Below are 14,800 nucleotides of genomic sequence, written 5' to 3' on the forward strand. Positions count from 1 at the left end.
CAATCTATCCATCTGACCAAAGTCTAATATTCAGCATCTACGAGGAATTTAAATTTACAAGAAAAAAAAACCCATTAAAAAGTGGGCTAAAGGACATAAACAGACACTTCTGAAAAGAAGACATACATGTGACCAATAAACAGATGGAAAAAAGCTCATCACTGACCATTAGAGAAATGCAAATCAAAACTACAATGAGATATCATCTCAGCCAGTCAGAATGGCAGTTATTAAAAAGTCAAAAACAACAGATGCTGGTGAGGTTGTGGGGAAAAATAAATGCTTTTACACTATTGGTGGGAGTGTAAATTAGTTTGACCATTGTGGAAGACACTGTGGTGATTCCTCAAATATCTAGAGGCAGAAATACGATTTGACCCAGCAATCCCATTACTGGGTATACACCCAAAGGAGCATAAATCATTCTGTTATAAAGATGTGGGCACGTGTATGTTCATTGCAGCAGTGTTCACAATAGCAAAGACATGGAATCAACCTAAATGCCCATCAATGATAGACTGGATAAAGAAAATGTGGTACATATATACCATGGAATGTTATGCAGCCATAAAAAGGAATGAGATCATGTCCTTTTCAGGGACATGGATGGAGCTGGAAGCCATTATCCTCAGCAAACTAATGCAAAAACAGGAAACCAAATACTGCATGTTGTTACTTATAAGTGGGAGCTGAATGATGAGAACACATGGACACAAGGTGGGGAACAACATACACTGGGGCCTGTCAGAGGGTGGGGGTTGGAAGGAGGGAAAGCATCAGGAAGACTAGCTGATGGATGCTGAGCTTGATACCTAGGTGATGAGATAATCTGTGTAGCAAACCACTATGGCACATGTTTACCTCTGTAACCTGCACATCTTGCACATGTAGCCCTGAACTTAAAATAAAAGTTGGAAATGAAAAAAAAACACTTCTAGGCACCAAGCAAAGGATTCAACATTCAGCAAGCCTCGAGGAACAAGCCTGGACTGGCATGCATTATTGAACTCAAAAATATATTTTGTCTCTCTTTGGCTTTTTACATGCCTTGCCCTCTTGCTGAATACTTATTTTCTCTGTTTCCAAATCCAAATAGTGGATAATACTAAGCAATTAACTACTCTCAAGTTTATATATTGTGTGTTCAAAAGACCAGCCAACATTTCTCATTTACATGTTACAGTGACATAATCCAACCCCGAGGGTACACTTACTCTTGAATGAACTGAATAAATTAAAATTTTAAGCTGAAAAAAAATAGGATTTGGTGATTAGATATAAAGGATGAGCGGGAGAGAGGAGTCAAAGCTGGTAAGACAAGAACAAGAAGGAGGAAAAGTTTTTGAGGAAACAGGTAAGTTTTGTTCTGCAGAGACACATCTAAAAAGCTAAGGAACATCCATGTCCAGTTAAGGTCCAAAGTTCCCCAGAGAGGCCTGGGCTATCCAGCTTTAGAAGTCATCTTCCTAAGAAGTAATAATGGACATATTAAAGTAATAATGTTATCAAAGGAGAAGGGATAGGATGAGATGAGAGGGCCAAGAATATATTCTTAGGGATTGACTATTTCTTTAGGAAGCCACCAAAGGAAAGGGATCACTTCAGGGGCCTAAGAAATAGTAACCAAAGAAGCAGGAGACATGGAAGAGATCAATGCTTCAAAAATCTTTCACTGAATTATAATCTAAGATCATGACAATCACAGCAATAATGATAATAAATTCATTGTATGGGCTTTTCTTAAGTCACTTAATACACAATCCTATTGAGGTATATGCTATCTCAATTTTACAGAAGGAATTAGAGGCACAGAAAGGTAATGTTATCTGCCCAATGTTATCTATCCAGGAGGGCAGGAAACAGCTGGCTCTGCAGTCCATGCTTTTAGTAATTTTTGTTTGTTTTTTGACAGGGTCTTACTCTGCTGCCCAGGCTGGAATGCAGTGGCATGAACACTGTTCACTGCAGCCTCGACCTCCTGAGCTCAAGCAATCCTCCCACCTCAGCCTCCTGAGTAGCTGGGACTACAGGTGCATGCCACTATGCAGGCTAATTTTAAAATTTGTTGAGATGGATTCTCGTTGCATTGCCCAGGCTGATCTCAAACTTCTGGTCTAAAATGAACCTCCTGCCTCAGCCTCCCGAAGTGGTGAGATTATAGGCATAAGCCACTGCACCAGGCTAGTGATTGCTAACACTTAAATAGCACTTCCAAGTGCCTTGACACTTTTCTAAACACTTTGTATTCACTAATTCGTGTAATTCTCACTATAGTTTTTTAAGGTAAATACTATCGTTATCTCCATTTTATAGATGAGGAAACTGAGGAACAGGAAGATCATATAAACTGCCCAAGGTCATAGATGTGGAACATTCTGAACTAACACCAGACTATTGGGCCCTATGGTGGTGCTCAGATGTTACTTGGAAAGTATAATGCTCACAGAAGCACTCTCTCTCTCTAGGGGAATACTTGTTTCCATCATTTGTTTTACTCTCTGTAGAGGGAAACATTCCTTTCCAAAGGAGATTTCATCTTCTGACTAGTAAATCAGACTCAGAATGAGCTATGATTCATTTACAGGTAAGTCACAAGCTTTATTCCTGGCCAGATAAGAAATCAGTAATTTGGTTTTGTCTGAAGAGATTTGGGAATTCCCCCAAGATGATTTCCTGGAGTGGGTCAGAATGCCACCTACACACTAGGTTAATGACTTCAGTGTTCTGCTTGGTTCGCTGATGACAGGAAACTGGTAAAACAAAGAGGGTGAGAAACCAGCTGTATCACAGTAATAAATATTACTCAGATTTAGGCTCTTCTTCCTAGTTCCTGAGTTTTTTTAACTTTCAAGCTTTCACTCAGACAATATGCAATGATTAGCTAATACAGTTTGTTTTAGTATTACAAATGATGATGGCAGATTTTGCGGGGAATTTGTTTTAAAGTTAATGTTATCATATTTTTACAATTCTTGTTTTCAATAGTTTGAAAAAGTTCTGTTGGGATCCTGAATTCTTAATTTTGACTGAGATCTAGTGAGATTAGTTGTCTCTTTTGGAGATAATTTTAGAGGCATAAAAATGGTAAATCAATTTTTTTTCAATTATTAGAAATCATGTGCACAAAATAGTCAAGGGGAAAGATTAGCAACTGCTTTTTTAATATAGCATTAATTGATTTCACAAATAGTTACTATGCTGCTACTGTATTTTTTAGGCATCAGAGATAGAGTTGTGAGGAAGACAAGGCAAGATCCTTGACCTCCAAATGTTTATAGTCTAGCAAGATAAATTAATAAATATATAATTAAGTAATAGGTAATGATAAATTCTATAAAGAAAAATTAACCAGGTGAAGGAGATAGAGAATAATGGAAGCAAATCAGAATTAAAATAGGAATTTCAGAGAAGGCCTCTTTGAGGTTTTATTGTTATTGTGATAGAAAGTTTCATGGCTCTGATTTTACCGTTTTAAAACGTAACTCTAGCTACAAGGAGAAAAGACTGTATTTATGGGAGCAAGTGTAGAATCAGGAACACCAGTTAAGAGTCTATTATAATAGTCTAGGTTCTCAACCTTGTCTGCTGCTTAGAATTCCCTGGAGATAATTTTAGCCAGCCCCAGTTGAAACCAGTTACTATATGTCAAAATCTTTGAGAGTAGAGTCCAGGAGTTGATATTTCTCAAGGTTCCTCTGGTGATTTTAATATATAGCCAAGGTTGGAAAAGGTTGTGGAAGAAAGATATCAGACAACAAGTCTAGGGCAGTTTTCTAAATCTAGTAGGAACACGGAAGCTGTTAAAACAGGACTGGCTTCTTTTCTGGATTTATTTTCTTCTTTAAGGAATATGGTTAGGTCAGAGAACAAAGCAAATTCTTAAAGAGGAAAACATTTATCAGGAAATGATGAAGATGGATTTTGGCTAAGAAGCATTAACTAATATACTACTAGGAAGCAGTGGTAAATGAAAATGTTTGTCATGTTTGTTTCTTCAAATATTCTAGTATGGAGTCCATGGATGAAAATGTTTGTGAAAGGATGATGTAGGAGACTGGGTCTCTAGCAGTTATCTATGGAGGTGGCTAGATGTCAGATTCAGGATTTATACATTTTGTAGAGATAGCAATTAAGATTCACTGATGGATTGGAAGTGGGATGATAGGGAAAGGGGGGTCAGGGATGACATCCAAATTTTAGGCCTGAGCAATTGGGTGAATTGTTGCATTTATTTCGTTGGGGGAAAGTGGGTGGAAAAGTAGGGAATATCTGTGTGGGGGAGGAGGTCGAATATTGAAATTAAGAATATCAGTTTGGACTTCATAATGTAAAGAGTGCTAATTAAACTCTAAAATGAATGTAAGTAGAGAGTGAGATATAGATTCACAATTTGAATGATTTGTTTCCTGGAATAATTTTCTTTGATTTTATGTCTGTTTATTGTTTGAATAACTAGGGAACTTATTTACTTTTATCTCATTTATTTTTTATCTTCCTAGATTTTTAATGTATACCCTACTACATTGCATATAGGCATGGTAGAAGAGTGTTTTAAGACTATGCTAACCTTTACTCCAATAAAACATTATAATTTTGTAAACTGTAGTCCTAATAGACTGCTGGGGAAGAGCAATAACACATAAATGCATGAACATTTTAGTGTTAAAAACATTGCAAAATTATAAGTTTTAAAAAATGGATTAAAAGATAACTAATGAAATTTTAGAACATCACTTCCAAAACTTTCTTCACTATAGAACAGTTTAAAATTCTAATATATTGATGAAAACCAAAAAGAACTCAACAGATTTAATGGGCTCTTGAATTAAAGTAGATAGCAAAAAATGGACTTTTAGACAGATTAGTCACTACAAGAGAGAATCATTTATCATGTGTATAAAATACAATGAATTTTAAATAACATAGCTCTATGTTGAAATTATAAGAAAATACATAAATTAGACAAATATATATCACTTATTCAAATTCAATTGTAATCTCAAGTATAATATCAATTGTAATATCAAAATGTCATTAACTGGAAAATAATACTAATAGCTAAAGTGTATTGAGCATTTACAATGACTAAGAACAATTCCAAGCATTTTACAAAATATGTTAACTCAGTTAAGGAATACTCTTAGCTACAAGTGACAGTATTTAATATTGGTCACTTAAAAACCTATGGTTCATTGCTTTTCATGTTAAAAGGAGTCTGGAAACTGGCATTGGTTCAGTGACACAATGGTTTCTCATAGCATCTACATTGCTCTCTTGGCCTCATCCTCTTGGTTGCAAGATGTCACTCCCAGGTCCAGGAAGCATGTTTGTGTTAAAGACAAGAAAAAGGAAGGAAAGGATGGACCTGGGTACATCTGTCTCTTTTTATCAGGAAAGCCAAAGCTTTCCTAGAAGCTCCAACAGATTTCTGCTTAGGTCTCCTCTGCTGGCACTATTACTTAGCACCCCTAGTTGCAAGGGAGGCTGGGAAATCAGGTATGACATTTTTTTTCTGCCTTTATAGAGGAACAGGAGAAAGGAAAAGAAGGTTGAGAATGGGTTTTGAATTAGGCAGCCAACAGTGACTGCCACAAATTCATGTCTTTCTTATGAAAGCCCTATCAAAGTGGTACTTTTGTTTATTACCATTTTGCAAATGAGAAACTAAGAGTGAGAAGTTAAGAAATTTGACCATGGTCACACAACTAAATAATGTAGAACCAGAAATCGAGTCAGGTGGTCTGTCTGTCTCCAGAATCTGCTCTCTTCTCAGCCACTCTACTATAGTATAGAAATAAAGCCACAGACAGATTTAACACTGAGCCTTCTCATGTGAGTGATCTTCCATATAACTTCCTTACATTCTCATGAATGATACATTTATTATAATAGGCAATACATTACCTAATGATAAAACTAAATAAATGCGTGCTATTGCTCTTATTCTTTCTAATTATACCAATAATAATAAACCACATGGTTAATTTGAATTTGTAAAGTCACCCTTTCAAACAATTGTAAGTATTTTCATACATATTATATACTTCTGATTTCCTCGTAAATCCTTTGAGAAATAGAGAGAGGTAAATGTGATTATTTGCATTTGATAGTTGGGAATATGAGATCAAGCTTGTGTCAAAAAGCTCTGGGACTTAAACCTAGATTTACATAGAGCCAGGCCATTTGTACTTCATTAGATACCTGCCAGTATAGATGTCTTTACTTTAGGATAAATGTTAATTAAATTGCAGAAGAATTGAAACAAATGTTAACATTACAAATTTTCTCATCAAGGCAAAGATTTACAACTTTAAAACTCAACATTTAATGTTTCTTAATGTCTTAACAATGGTTTCTGAGATACCATATTTTATGAAAGCTAGTTCCCTTGGTTACTAGAAATTCTGACACATTTTTATAGCTCTATTTTATAAAATGCATTACCCTGAGTAATTATAAATTATATGCAGGAAGTAATGTACATTTTGTTGTTATTTTTTGAAATTAAAACTCACAGATATGATTCATGTCAAGTATTTTTCTGTTGAAATTAATCTATTATTGTGTTTCTTATAATAAAATTAATTCATTTTTTATTGTTTTTTCATATTATAATAGGCAACATTGATTTTTTAAAATTTGTTTTTGCTATACTTTATTTTTCTTGAATATTTATATTTATGCTTTTTGTTTCTATCCACGCTGTTTTTTTTTTCCTTTAATTTTTCAACTTTTATTTTAGCTCAGGGGTACGTGTGCAGGTTTGTTATATGGGTAAATTGCATGTCACTGGGGTTTGATATACAGATAATTTTGTCACCTAGGAATTGAGTGTAGTCATACCTGATAGGTAGTTTTCAACCCTCACCCTCCTCTCACCCTCCACCCTCAAGTAGGCTTGACTTTGCTTAATGGGAATATTTTACATCTCACACAAAGGAGGCACTGGTACTCAAAAATTTATGAAAATTACTAGAACTGTTAAGATTGAGGTGAAAAATTTGTACAGCTTTCCACAGTTTTAAAGAGATAGTAATAGATACTTTTCCTCTTGGTGATATCAAATGTTGTTTCTTCCAAGTTGTTTTTCACACCTGGTTTGATGTAAGGGTTCATCAGGAGGAGTTCTAGGGTATCTTTGCTATCTTTGTTCCCAGAAGCAAGATGCAATGGAGTTCAGAGGCCTTTTGTTTGGGCATGCATAGCTGTATCATGTGGGAGGAAGAAAGAAGCCACTCTGGTGTTATTACACTTACAGGTGTTGTACAGGGGTATCCAGCTATCCACAGTCACTGCATGAACATCTGCCCCTTGTGCGGTTACCTCATGGATGATATCTAAGTGTCCATTGTAGACTGCTCGATGAAGAAGGGTATATTCATCTTTGTCCCTAGTGTTCACATGATTGGCTTTCTCAGAAAGTAGTCTTTGCACTATAGTAAGGCTAGAAACATGCCTTCAGTTCATGATTTTCAGTTTTTTCTACAGACGTCTGGTGGGTTATGGTGTGCTCCTATTAAAAAGTGGATTTATTTCAGTAGCCCAAATAAGCAATTTACTTAGATCTTTTCACACATTTTTTTCTTGCAATTCATAGCACTCTTTGTTTTTTTCATCTTGCTCCTCATCTTCATCAGAGTTGCCTATTCAGAGACTTTGAGTACCAGTGGGAATAAGGTATTCTTGTATTTCTAACAATTCAATTTGATTAAGGTATTCAAAAAAGTCCAAGGAATTCTCTTGGTCTGGTTTTCCATCATCATTCACTTTCTTTATCCATTTTTACTACTGTTCTAAATAAAAAGTACTTCAAATACCAGGGTATAAATAGTATAAGTAATCTTTCTAGAGATGTGTTATATCTACTTTATTTTATTCATCAAGATTTGATGATATTCCTGATATTCTGTCAGTAATAGGATGCCTTTCCCAACTTAAAGGGCATATTCCATTTTGGGAGAGATGTGAACTGTGTCAATTTATCACAAACAACTCAGTGACAGGTGGGGCTATAAACTCCATTTTACAGATGTATTAGTTCATTTTCGTGCAGCTGATAAAGACATACCTGAGACAGGGCAGAAAAAGAGGTTTAATGGACTTACAGTTCCACATGGCTGGGGAGGCCTCACATTCATGGTGGAAGGCAAGGAGGAGCAAGTCACATCTTACATGGATGGCAGCAGGCAAAGAGCTTATGCAGGGAAATTCCCTTTTTTAAAACCATCAGATCTTGTGAGACTTATTACTATCAGGAAAACAGCATGGGAAAAACCCACCCCCATGATTCAGTTATCTCCCACAGGGTCCCTTCCACAATATGTGGGAATTATGGGGGCTACAAGATGATATGTGGGTGGGGACACAGAGCTTAAACCATATCAACAGGTGAAGGCACAGAAGTTTGGATAGATTAAAACAACTTGCCCTAAATCAAGGACCCTTCAATGGAACTGAAAGGCCTGATATTCTAATTCAAAGGTTCCACATTATTTTTCTTTTTTTTTTTTTTTTTTTTTGAGACGGAGTCTCGCTCTGTCGCCCAGGCTGGAGTGCAGTGGCGGGATCTCGGCTCACTGCAAGCTCCGCCTCCCGGGTTCACGCCATTCTCCTGCCTCAGCCTCCCAAGTAGCTGGGACTACAGGCGCCCGCCACTACGCCCGGCTAATTTTTTGTATTTTTAGTAGAGACGGGGTTTCACCGTTTTAGCCGGGATGGTCTTGATCTCCTGACCTCGTGATCCACCCGCCTCGGCCTCCCAAAGTGCTGGGATTACAGGCGTGAGCCACCGCGCCCGGCCTCCACATTATTTTTCACTGCACTATATTTTACTGCTGTAAGCACAAAGCAGTAGAGATGTTCTGAACCCAAGGATCCAGGGGCAACAGTAAGGGGAAGTGGGTAATAAAAACCTGTAAACTACAGGGTCTGGTGAGCAGGAGCAAGGGAAAAGGGCATCCAGTTCCAACCTTGTGCCACTAGCTGGTCACTCATAGGCCTAGAAGTTCTGCCTGCAGCCTTCCTAACAGCCAATATTGGAGAAGCCACTTCCACCCATTCTGGGACCCATGATGGAGTCTGACCTGCAGGGCTTGGCCTGAGGTCACTTGCCTCTACAGACCCAGGAGTTGTTAGATGGCGAGGGTCTACCAGGAAGTGAGGCACCAATTTTAACATTTCTACAATGTTTTATAAATAAACAAAATGTGATGATTATTTGTCTTTAGTAGACTTGATTGTTTACTACCATGTCAAAATAGCTTTCATTTTTCAGTGTTTCAAGGTTGTAGAAAATGTCAGCTTAACTCTAGACAATAGATTTATGCAGTTATTGCTGCCATAGAATGCTCTTAAAACAGTTTTTATGAACCTGAAGAAAATGAAACCTCTGGCATATATCATTTTTATTTAGAATAGTTTATGTTTATTTACATGTACACAGTAATTTAAGCTAATTATAACCTGCATGTATTTGGTTTAAAACCATGTTTGGAATTGTCACGTGAAAATAAAACAGTAATATAGATAGGGTGTTTTTGACATCCAAGAAAAATTTTAGAAACATGTCTCTCATAATTTGTTATGTGGATAACAAACATCTTCAAAAAGGGGATAATTGAATGGTATTTATTATATTTTGGGAAAGAGAAGCAGCTATCTCCTTGCTCTGACTTGACTTTATGGCCAACCCTTTTCTTATGTTCTTGTAGCCAAGTTGAACAGACTTATGTGATTTATTAAACTGTAATGAGCTAAAGAATAGATTTTCTGAAGCTTCATAGGTTCTTGCTGAGTATTGTGAGCAAGGTAAACTGAAAGCAGCAACACGAAGAGGAAAGCATATTTAAGATGGAAATGGAATGATCATTAAGCACCTATAAAATGTGGGGCCTTTTCATGCTATTTTATTTAAGTCTGAAAATCACCCTGAGAATTACGTGTTAGGCTGATTTTGCAGCCTAACAGGTTCAGGAAGTTTGATTACCTTGCCAAGAATCACTATGTTTGGCTTGGATTTGCAACCAGGTCTCTTTTGTTCCACAATTGTTCAACAAATATTTCTTGACACCAAACTAGGCTTTGAGAAAGACAAAGAAGGAATATTGTGTTGTAAATGTCTTTACTATTCTTTAAACATCGTCTTTCAGAATATAGTCATTCCATAAAATTCTCTATTTTTTTAGATAACAAAGCTGAGTTGTTATGTGCTGGTCGAAGATACCTATAAGAAACATACAAGCCTTGTTAAGCTTAATTACATTTTAATGGGAATGGCCTTAAGAGTCGGATGGCAGGATCCACTCAGTAGCATGGGAATGCATACAACAGAAGAAGACTCTTGGGGCTGGATGCGGTGGCTCACGTCTGTAATCTCAGCCCACTGGGAGGCTGAGGCAGAAGGATCACTTTAGCTCTGGAGTTCGAGGTTACAGTAAGCTATGATTGTGCCACTGCACTCCAGCCTGAGTGACAGAGCTAGATCCTGTCTCTTAAAAAAAAAAGGCTCTTGGATCAGGGGAGGGTGTGAGGGTGGTGGTGGTCATGGTGGTGAAGGTGAGGTAGAAAGGGGTGAGGTGAAAAGGCGAAGAAGAAAAATATCCTAGTTGTAGGAAAATCCTAAGAATATCCCAAAGTTAAGCAGGAGTTAGCTGTAGGAGATGGGGGAGAGAGTGCTAAGTTTGTTCCAGGAAAGGCACAACAAAAGGTAATTGCAGGCAATAGATGACACTCAAGAAGTGAACAGTGGTGGCTTCTTCCAATCTGGCAGGTATGGAGAGCAGGAGCCAGGCTGCAAAAGGAGGGTCAGCAACAACCATGCAAAGCATTCCTCTACTTTTAATCCCCCTGTTTCACTCATTCCTCTTCTTGTTACCCTTGTGACCTCATTTCATACCACTCTCCACCTTGCTCACTCCTCTTTCTCTTTTCCTTAAACATGCTAGATTCTCTCCTATTTTAAGTCCTTTGGTGTAGCTGTTCCTTCTGTCTGAAATGCTCTCCCGGTGATCTTCACTAGACTAATTGGTTTACCTTCTCCATGTGTCTGCTTAACTCTTACCTTCTCAGTAAGGCCTATCATGCCTATCCTATTTAATACAGCAAAGTGCTCCTTTACCCGCGCCTTACCCTACTCTATATACTTTCAAAATTCATAGTGGTTACCACCTTCACTCTCCAGCACACCTTACCCTACTCTACATACTTTCAAAATTCATAGTGGTTACGACCTTCTAACATATTACAGTGTATTATTTGCTTATATATTATGTTTATTTTCTGCTAAGTATAAGCTCATGTAGCAGGCATTTGTGTTTTAGTCCCTGTTATATTTTAATACCCTGGAATAGTGCTCTAGGCAAGCTGGCCCAAGTTAATGCCAATCACAGATGTCACCCCTAGACCTGTACTTGTATCTTTAACCTAGTCTAATATACATCACATGAATAAAAATGACAAAGCCGTGGTCCTTAGGTACCTATTGCTATTCTCCTTTAGCACACCATCAACCCTCTTTACTGTTATAGGATCTTAGTCTTGTGTATTAACCCTCTACTGCCTGCCCAACCACCACCACCAAGTGTCTCATATCCTCACAAACAAGTTTGGTCAGCTACTGCAAGGGTTCAACCATTTTTCTCTTTCTTTCCATTCTAGTTCCCTTATGCTAAGTGATATGACTTCTGCAAGTTCTTCCATATCTTTTTGGCATGGCTGCTGCTCTCATGAGAATCACATACTCACCCCACCACTTGGGCTTTTTCACTAAGTACCACCACTGAGTTGCTGGAGACTAGGCAATTGCACAGACATCTGTAAAAATAGGCAACAATGTCTTTATTGTGTCATGCTCTGCTGGAAGGGGACCCAAAAATATTTCCTTACTTGTGGAGTTTCGCCAAGGACAATGTCTTATTGAAAGAAACCATATCATTCATTAAATCATTCTTGCCTTCTAGCCATTTAGCATTTTTTAAAGCATCTATTTACTGAGCACATTTATCAGCACCAGCCTTAGTGCTGTATATGCATTATTTTCTTTTTATCCTTGAAATAACCTTGAGAAACAAGGGTTATTCTCCTCAATTTTATAGATAAGGAACCCAAGAGCAGAGAACTTAAATACTTGCCAGGTGTCACATAGGTAATAGCTATGTGGTGATTAAAAGCCAGAACAATGAAACTCTGTAGAAGATGATGTGTGGCTATATCTACCTTACCCTGCTGTCCATTTCATCCTCCAGCTCATATGACTGTGGGCTGATAATTCAGAGAGTTACTCTCTTCTGAGAGACTATGTTTCTTCCAATTCCTACCAGCAGATCCTGACCAATGACTCAATGATAGAGAGTTACAAAGGGCTAGCCACTTGCTTCAAGGTAGGGCTAATTCTGTGGCGCAATTTGTGCTCCAGAGCATTCCTGTGGGATCAAACTGAAACTAGTCTCTAACTGAGCCACATTCTTGCCTCTCCTGACCTATCCTACTTCCTTCACTTTTCTTCTTTTGAGAGTACAGCCCAGTAAATCACTTGGACAAGAAAACTCATCTCATGCTTTCCCAGGAAACCTGACTTAAACCAGACCCATGATCCAATTTTTTAAGTACCACAGTACACTGTCCTCTTTTTTTTTTTTATAAGACCAAGAGGATTTACTCAATTATTTCTTTCCTTACTATGAAGTGCCTCAACTGCTCACGTAAATGGGTAGTACAATACAGTAAATCTGTATGATGAATGCATCTTGTGATCGGGTTCGGTTGTTCTTACACTCTATTCTTTTCATGGACAGTATTCTAAAGTTGAACATAGATAAATATTTGTAATCAGTCTTGTGAACTTCTGGCCCAAGGATTTCTAGTGGAAATTTTAGATTGTATGCCTTTGAATAGAAATAAGTTTAATGCTTCACATTTTTTTCTGATAGTAAAAATTGCAAAATTAGAAAATTTGAATACTTTTTGATAACAGAATACTAGGTTCCACGAAAGAGCATGTATTTTCTTTATTCCAGAGTATTACGGGTTTTACCTCTAGCTTTTCAGGAGCTCTTTAAGTACTGAAAGTAATATGTAGTTTTTGTGAAACAAATTACATGTACATCCAGGATTAAAAATATATACTCTACAGTAATAAGAATGTACTATAAAATGTCTGGGTAGAAATTGGAAACACAAAAGAAGATTAAGAAATAAAATTATTTAGCAAGATGATATTCACAAATAACTTTATTTTTCCAAGCACACATTAATATTCTACCATTGGCTGACTGAAATGTACATCTTATCATTACAAATAACTTCTGTGTAATCAATCCACACAAGGCATTCCAGTGGAGGTCCTTGTTGGTTACAGATTGCCCATTTTTACTTCAAGGTCAGGGAAGTGGATAGAATTTGTAATGAATGGTATAATTGTTGAACATTTAAACAAACACAGTCTATTTGGAGGTGAACAGTATGATTTACGTAATGGGAAATCATGCCAACCGATCAGGTTTGGTTTAATAAAATGATAAATAGCTATTTGAAAAAAAAAGAGGAACAATTAGATGTAACTCATTAACATTAGAAAAAATACCTTTGACAAAGTCTCCCTTTTTCCCTGCTGTACCCTATTATCCCCACACACATCCCAGCACACACACATCCCCTGCGAACTGTGTCTTAAAAAGATACACTATAAGATTGGAGGAAATGCTTTATTTTATCTAGAAATTGACTAAGAAACCAGGAATGAAGAGTTGGAACTGTTGCTTTTTAAAAAAGAAAACCGGTAGTTGGCTTCCTCAGTAAGAGGTACTGACATTAATCTAAAATGTTTACAGATGGAGCACTTATATTAAATCTCTGAGTTCACAATTGTATTAAACAAGTGATTTTTACATGTAAAAAAAATTAACAAAGAGATTTTAAAAGTCTGAGAGGCCAGGAGAGAGAACAGAAAGAAGAGAGTTGAACTTTGGTATGGCTAAGTATAAGATAAGGTGTATGACTAGAAATAATTCAAATTATAATTGTGGGGACATGATCTTATGAGAGTGTAGGCTTTCCCTACAGATTTTTCGAAGTTAAAAATGATGGTTCACGTTTAAAACATTTTTAATTTTATCTTTATTGTGGTGAAATATACATAACATAAAATTTACCATTATAACAATTCTAGTGGCATTAAATATATTTCAGTGGTATTAAGTATATTCACAATATTGTACAGCCATCAGTATCATCCGTTTCCAGAACTTTTTCATCATGTCAAACAGAAACTTTGTATCTATTGAACAGAAACTCCCCATTCCCCTTTACCCTTATCCCTTGGTAACCTCTACTCTCTCTGTCTCTATGAATTTGCCTGTTGTAGGTACTCCTATAGGTGGAATCATATAATATTCGTCCTTTCATGTCTGATCTGTGTCACTTAGCATAATGTTTTCAAGGTTCATCCATATTGTAGCATGTATCAGAACCTGATTCCTTTTTATGGCTGAATAATATTCCATTGTATGTTTTCTTTTATTTTTCCTTTTGTAGACAGGATCTTGCTCTGTTGGCCAAGCTATAATAGTGCAGTGGCACTCTTGTAGCTCACTGTAACCTTAAACTCCTAGGCTTAGGCGATCCTTCTGCCTCGGCTTTTCACAGCACAGGAATTACAGATGTGAGCCACCGTGCCTGGCTTATATATTTTCTTTAAAAAGGAAGTATATACTATCAGCCATGCACTATGTTAAATATTTTGTGGCCAATATCTCATTTAATCCTCACAACAGCGAATAGAGTAGATAATATTATTATCTCCAAT

At 36.9% G+C, this 14,800-nt stretch overlaps 1 pseudogene, besides 14 other annotated features; it reads right to left on the reverse strand.

Annotated features, from left to right (window-relative positions):
* Nucleotides 1,807-3,588: an enhancer, noted in NCBI's record as "Element E fragment used in the pGL3B reporter constructs". NCBI's record gives its function as "activates the CFTR promoter in transfected 6HBE14o- cells, and shows cooperative activity with the +36.6 kb CFTR enhancer" and the evidence as "EXISTENCE:reporter gene assay evidence [ECO:0000049][PMID:26615198]".
* Nucleotides 1,807-3,695: a biological region, named in NCBI's record as "CFTR -44 kb upstream enhancer". NCBI's record gives its function as "regulatory_interactions: CFTR | LOC111674463 | LOC111674476 | LOC111674479".
* Nucleotides 2,350-2,943: an enhancer, noted in NCBI's record as "0.6 kb DHS-44kb fragment used in pGL3 reporter constructs". NCBI's record gives its function as "activates a basal CFTR promoter in transfected 16HBE14o- cells, and shows cooperative activity with the -35kb CFTR enhancer" and the evidence as "EXISTENCE:reporter gene assay evidence [ECO:0000049][PMID:25259561]".
* Nucleotides 2,495-3,695: a DNaseI hypersensitive site, noted in NCBI's record as "DHS-44kb or -44 kb DHS observed in multiple cells types; the nucleotide coordinates are approximate for this feature". NCBI's record gives the evidence for it as "EXISTENCE:in vivo cleavage assay evidence [ECO:0001075][PMID:19897727, PMID:21895967]".
* Nucleotides 2,504-2,782: an enhancer, noted in NCBI's record as "279 bp DHS-44(279) fragment used in pGL3 reporter constructs". NCBI's record gives its function as "activates a basal CFTR promoter in transfected 16HBE14o- cells" and the evidence as "EXISTENCE:reporter gene assay evidence [ECO:0000049][PMID:25259561]".
* Nucleotides 2,564-2,591: a protein binding site, noted in NCBI's record as "probe 44-a Bach1-binding ARE". NCBI's record gives its function as "positive regulation of DHS-44(279) enhancer activity" and the evidence as "EXISTENCE:protein binding evidence [ECO:0000024][PMID:25259561]".
* Nucleotides 2,571-2,577: a transcriptional cis regulatory region, noted in NCBI's record as "Bach1 binding motif mutated in the 44-a/mut reporter construct". NCBI's record gives its function as "necessary for full activity of the DHS-44(279) enhancer" and the evidence as "EXISTENCE:site-directed mutagenesis evidence [ECO:0005528][PMID:25259561]".
* Nucleotides 2,646-2,667: a protein binding site, noted in NCBI's record as "probe 44-b that binds NF-kB (p65) in vitro, but in vivo binding was not detected in 16HBE14o- cells". NCBI's record gives its function as "positive regulation of DHS-44(279) enhancer activity" and the evidence as "EXISTENCE:protein binding evidence [ECO:0000024][PMID:25259561]".
* Nucleotides 2,650-2,659: a transcriptional cis regulatory region, noted in NCBI's record as "NF-kB (p65) binding motif mutated in the 44-b/mut reporter construct". NCBI's record gives its function as "necessary for full activity of the DHS-44(279) enhancer" and the evidence as "EXISTENCE:site-directed mutagenesis evidence [ECO:0005528][PMID:25259561]".
* Nucleotides 6,902-7,890, reverse strand: ANKRD49P4 (ANKRD49 pseudogene 4; annotated as a pseudogene).
* Nucleotides 11,395-12,995: a DNaseI hypersensitive site, noted in NCBI's record as "DHS-35kb or -35 kb DHS observed in multiple cell types; the nucleotide coordinates are approximate for this feature". NCBI's record gives the evidence for it as "EXISTENCE:in vivo cleavage assay evidence [ECO:0001075][PMID:19897727, PMID:21895967]".
* Nucleotides 11,451-12,853: an enhancer, noted in NCBI's record as "1.4 kb -35 kb fragment used in the pGL3B reporter constructs". NCBI's record gives its function as "activates a basal CFTR promoter in transfected 16HBE14o- cells, and shows cooperative activity with the -44 kb, -3.4 kb and intron 23 CFTR enhancers" and the evidence as "EXISTENCE:reporter gene assay evidence [ECO:0000049][PMID:21895967, PMID:23689137, PMID:25259561]".
* Nucleotides 12,317-12,666: an enhancer, noted in NCBI's record as "DHS-35kb(350) or 350 bp core enhancer fragment used in the pGL3B reporter construct". NCBI's record gives its function as "activates a basal CFTR promoter in transfected 16HBE14o- cells" and the evidence as "EXISTENCE:reporter gene assay evidence [ECO:0000049][PMID:23689137]".
* Nucleotides 12,319-12,349: a protein binding site, noted in NCBI's record as "FP1 NF-YA-binding probe". NCBI's record gives the evidence for it as "EXISTENCE:protein binding evidence [ECO:0000024][PMID:23689137]".
* Nucleotides 12,422-12,456: a protein binding site, noted in NCBI's record as "FP2 IRF1- and IRF2-binding probe". NCBI's record gives the evidence for it as "EXISTENCE:protein binding evidence [ECO:0000024][PMID:23689137]".

This window comes from Homo sapiens, chromosome 7 (genome assembly GCF_000001405.40).
Source record: "Homo sapiens chromosome 7, GRCh38.p14 Primary Assembly".
NCBI lineage: Eukaryota > Metazoa > Chordata > Mammalia > Primates > Hominidae > Homo > Homo sapiens.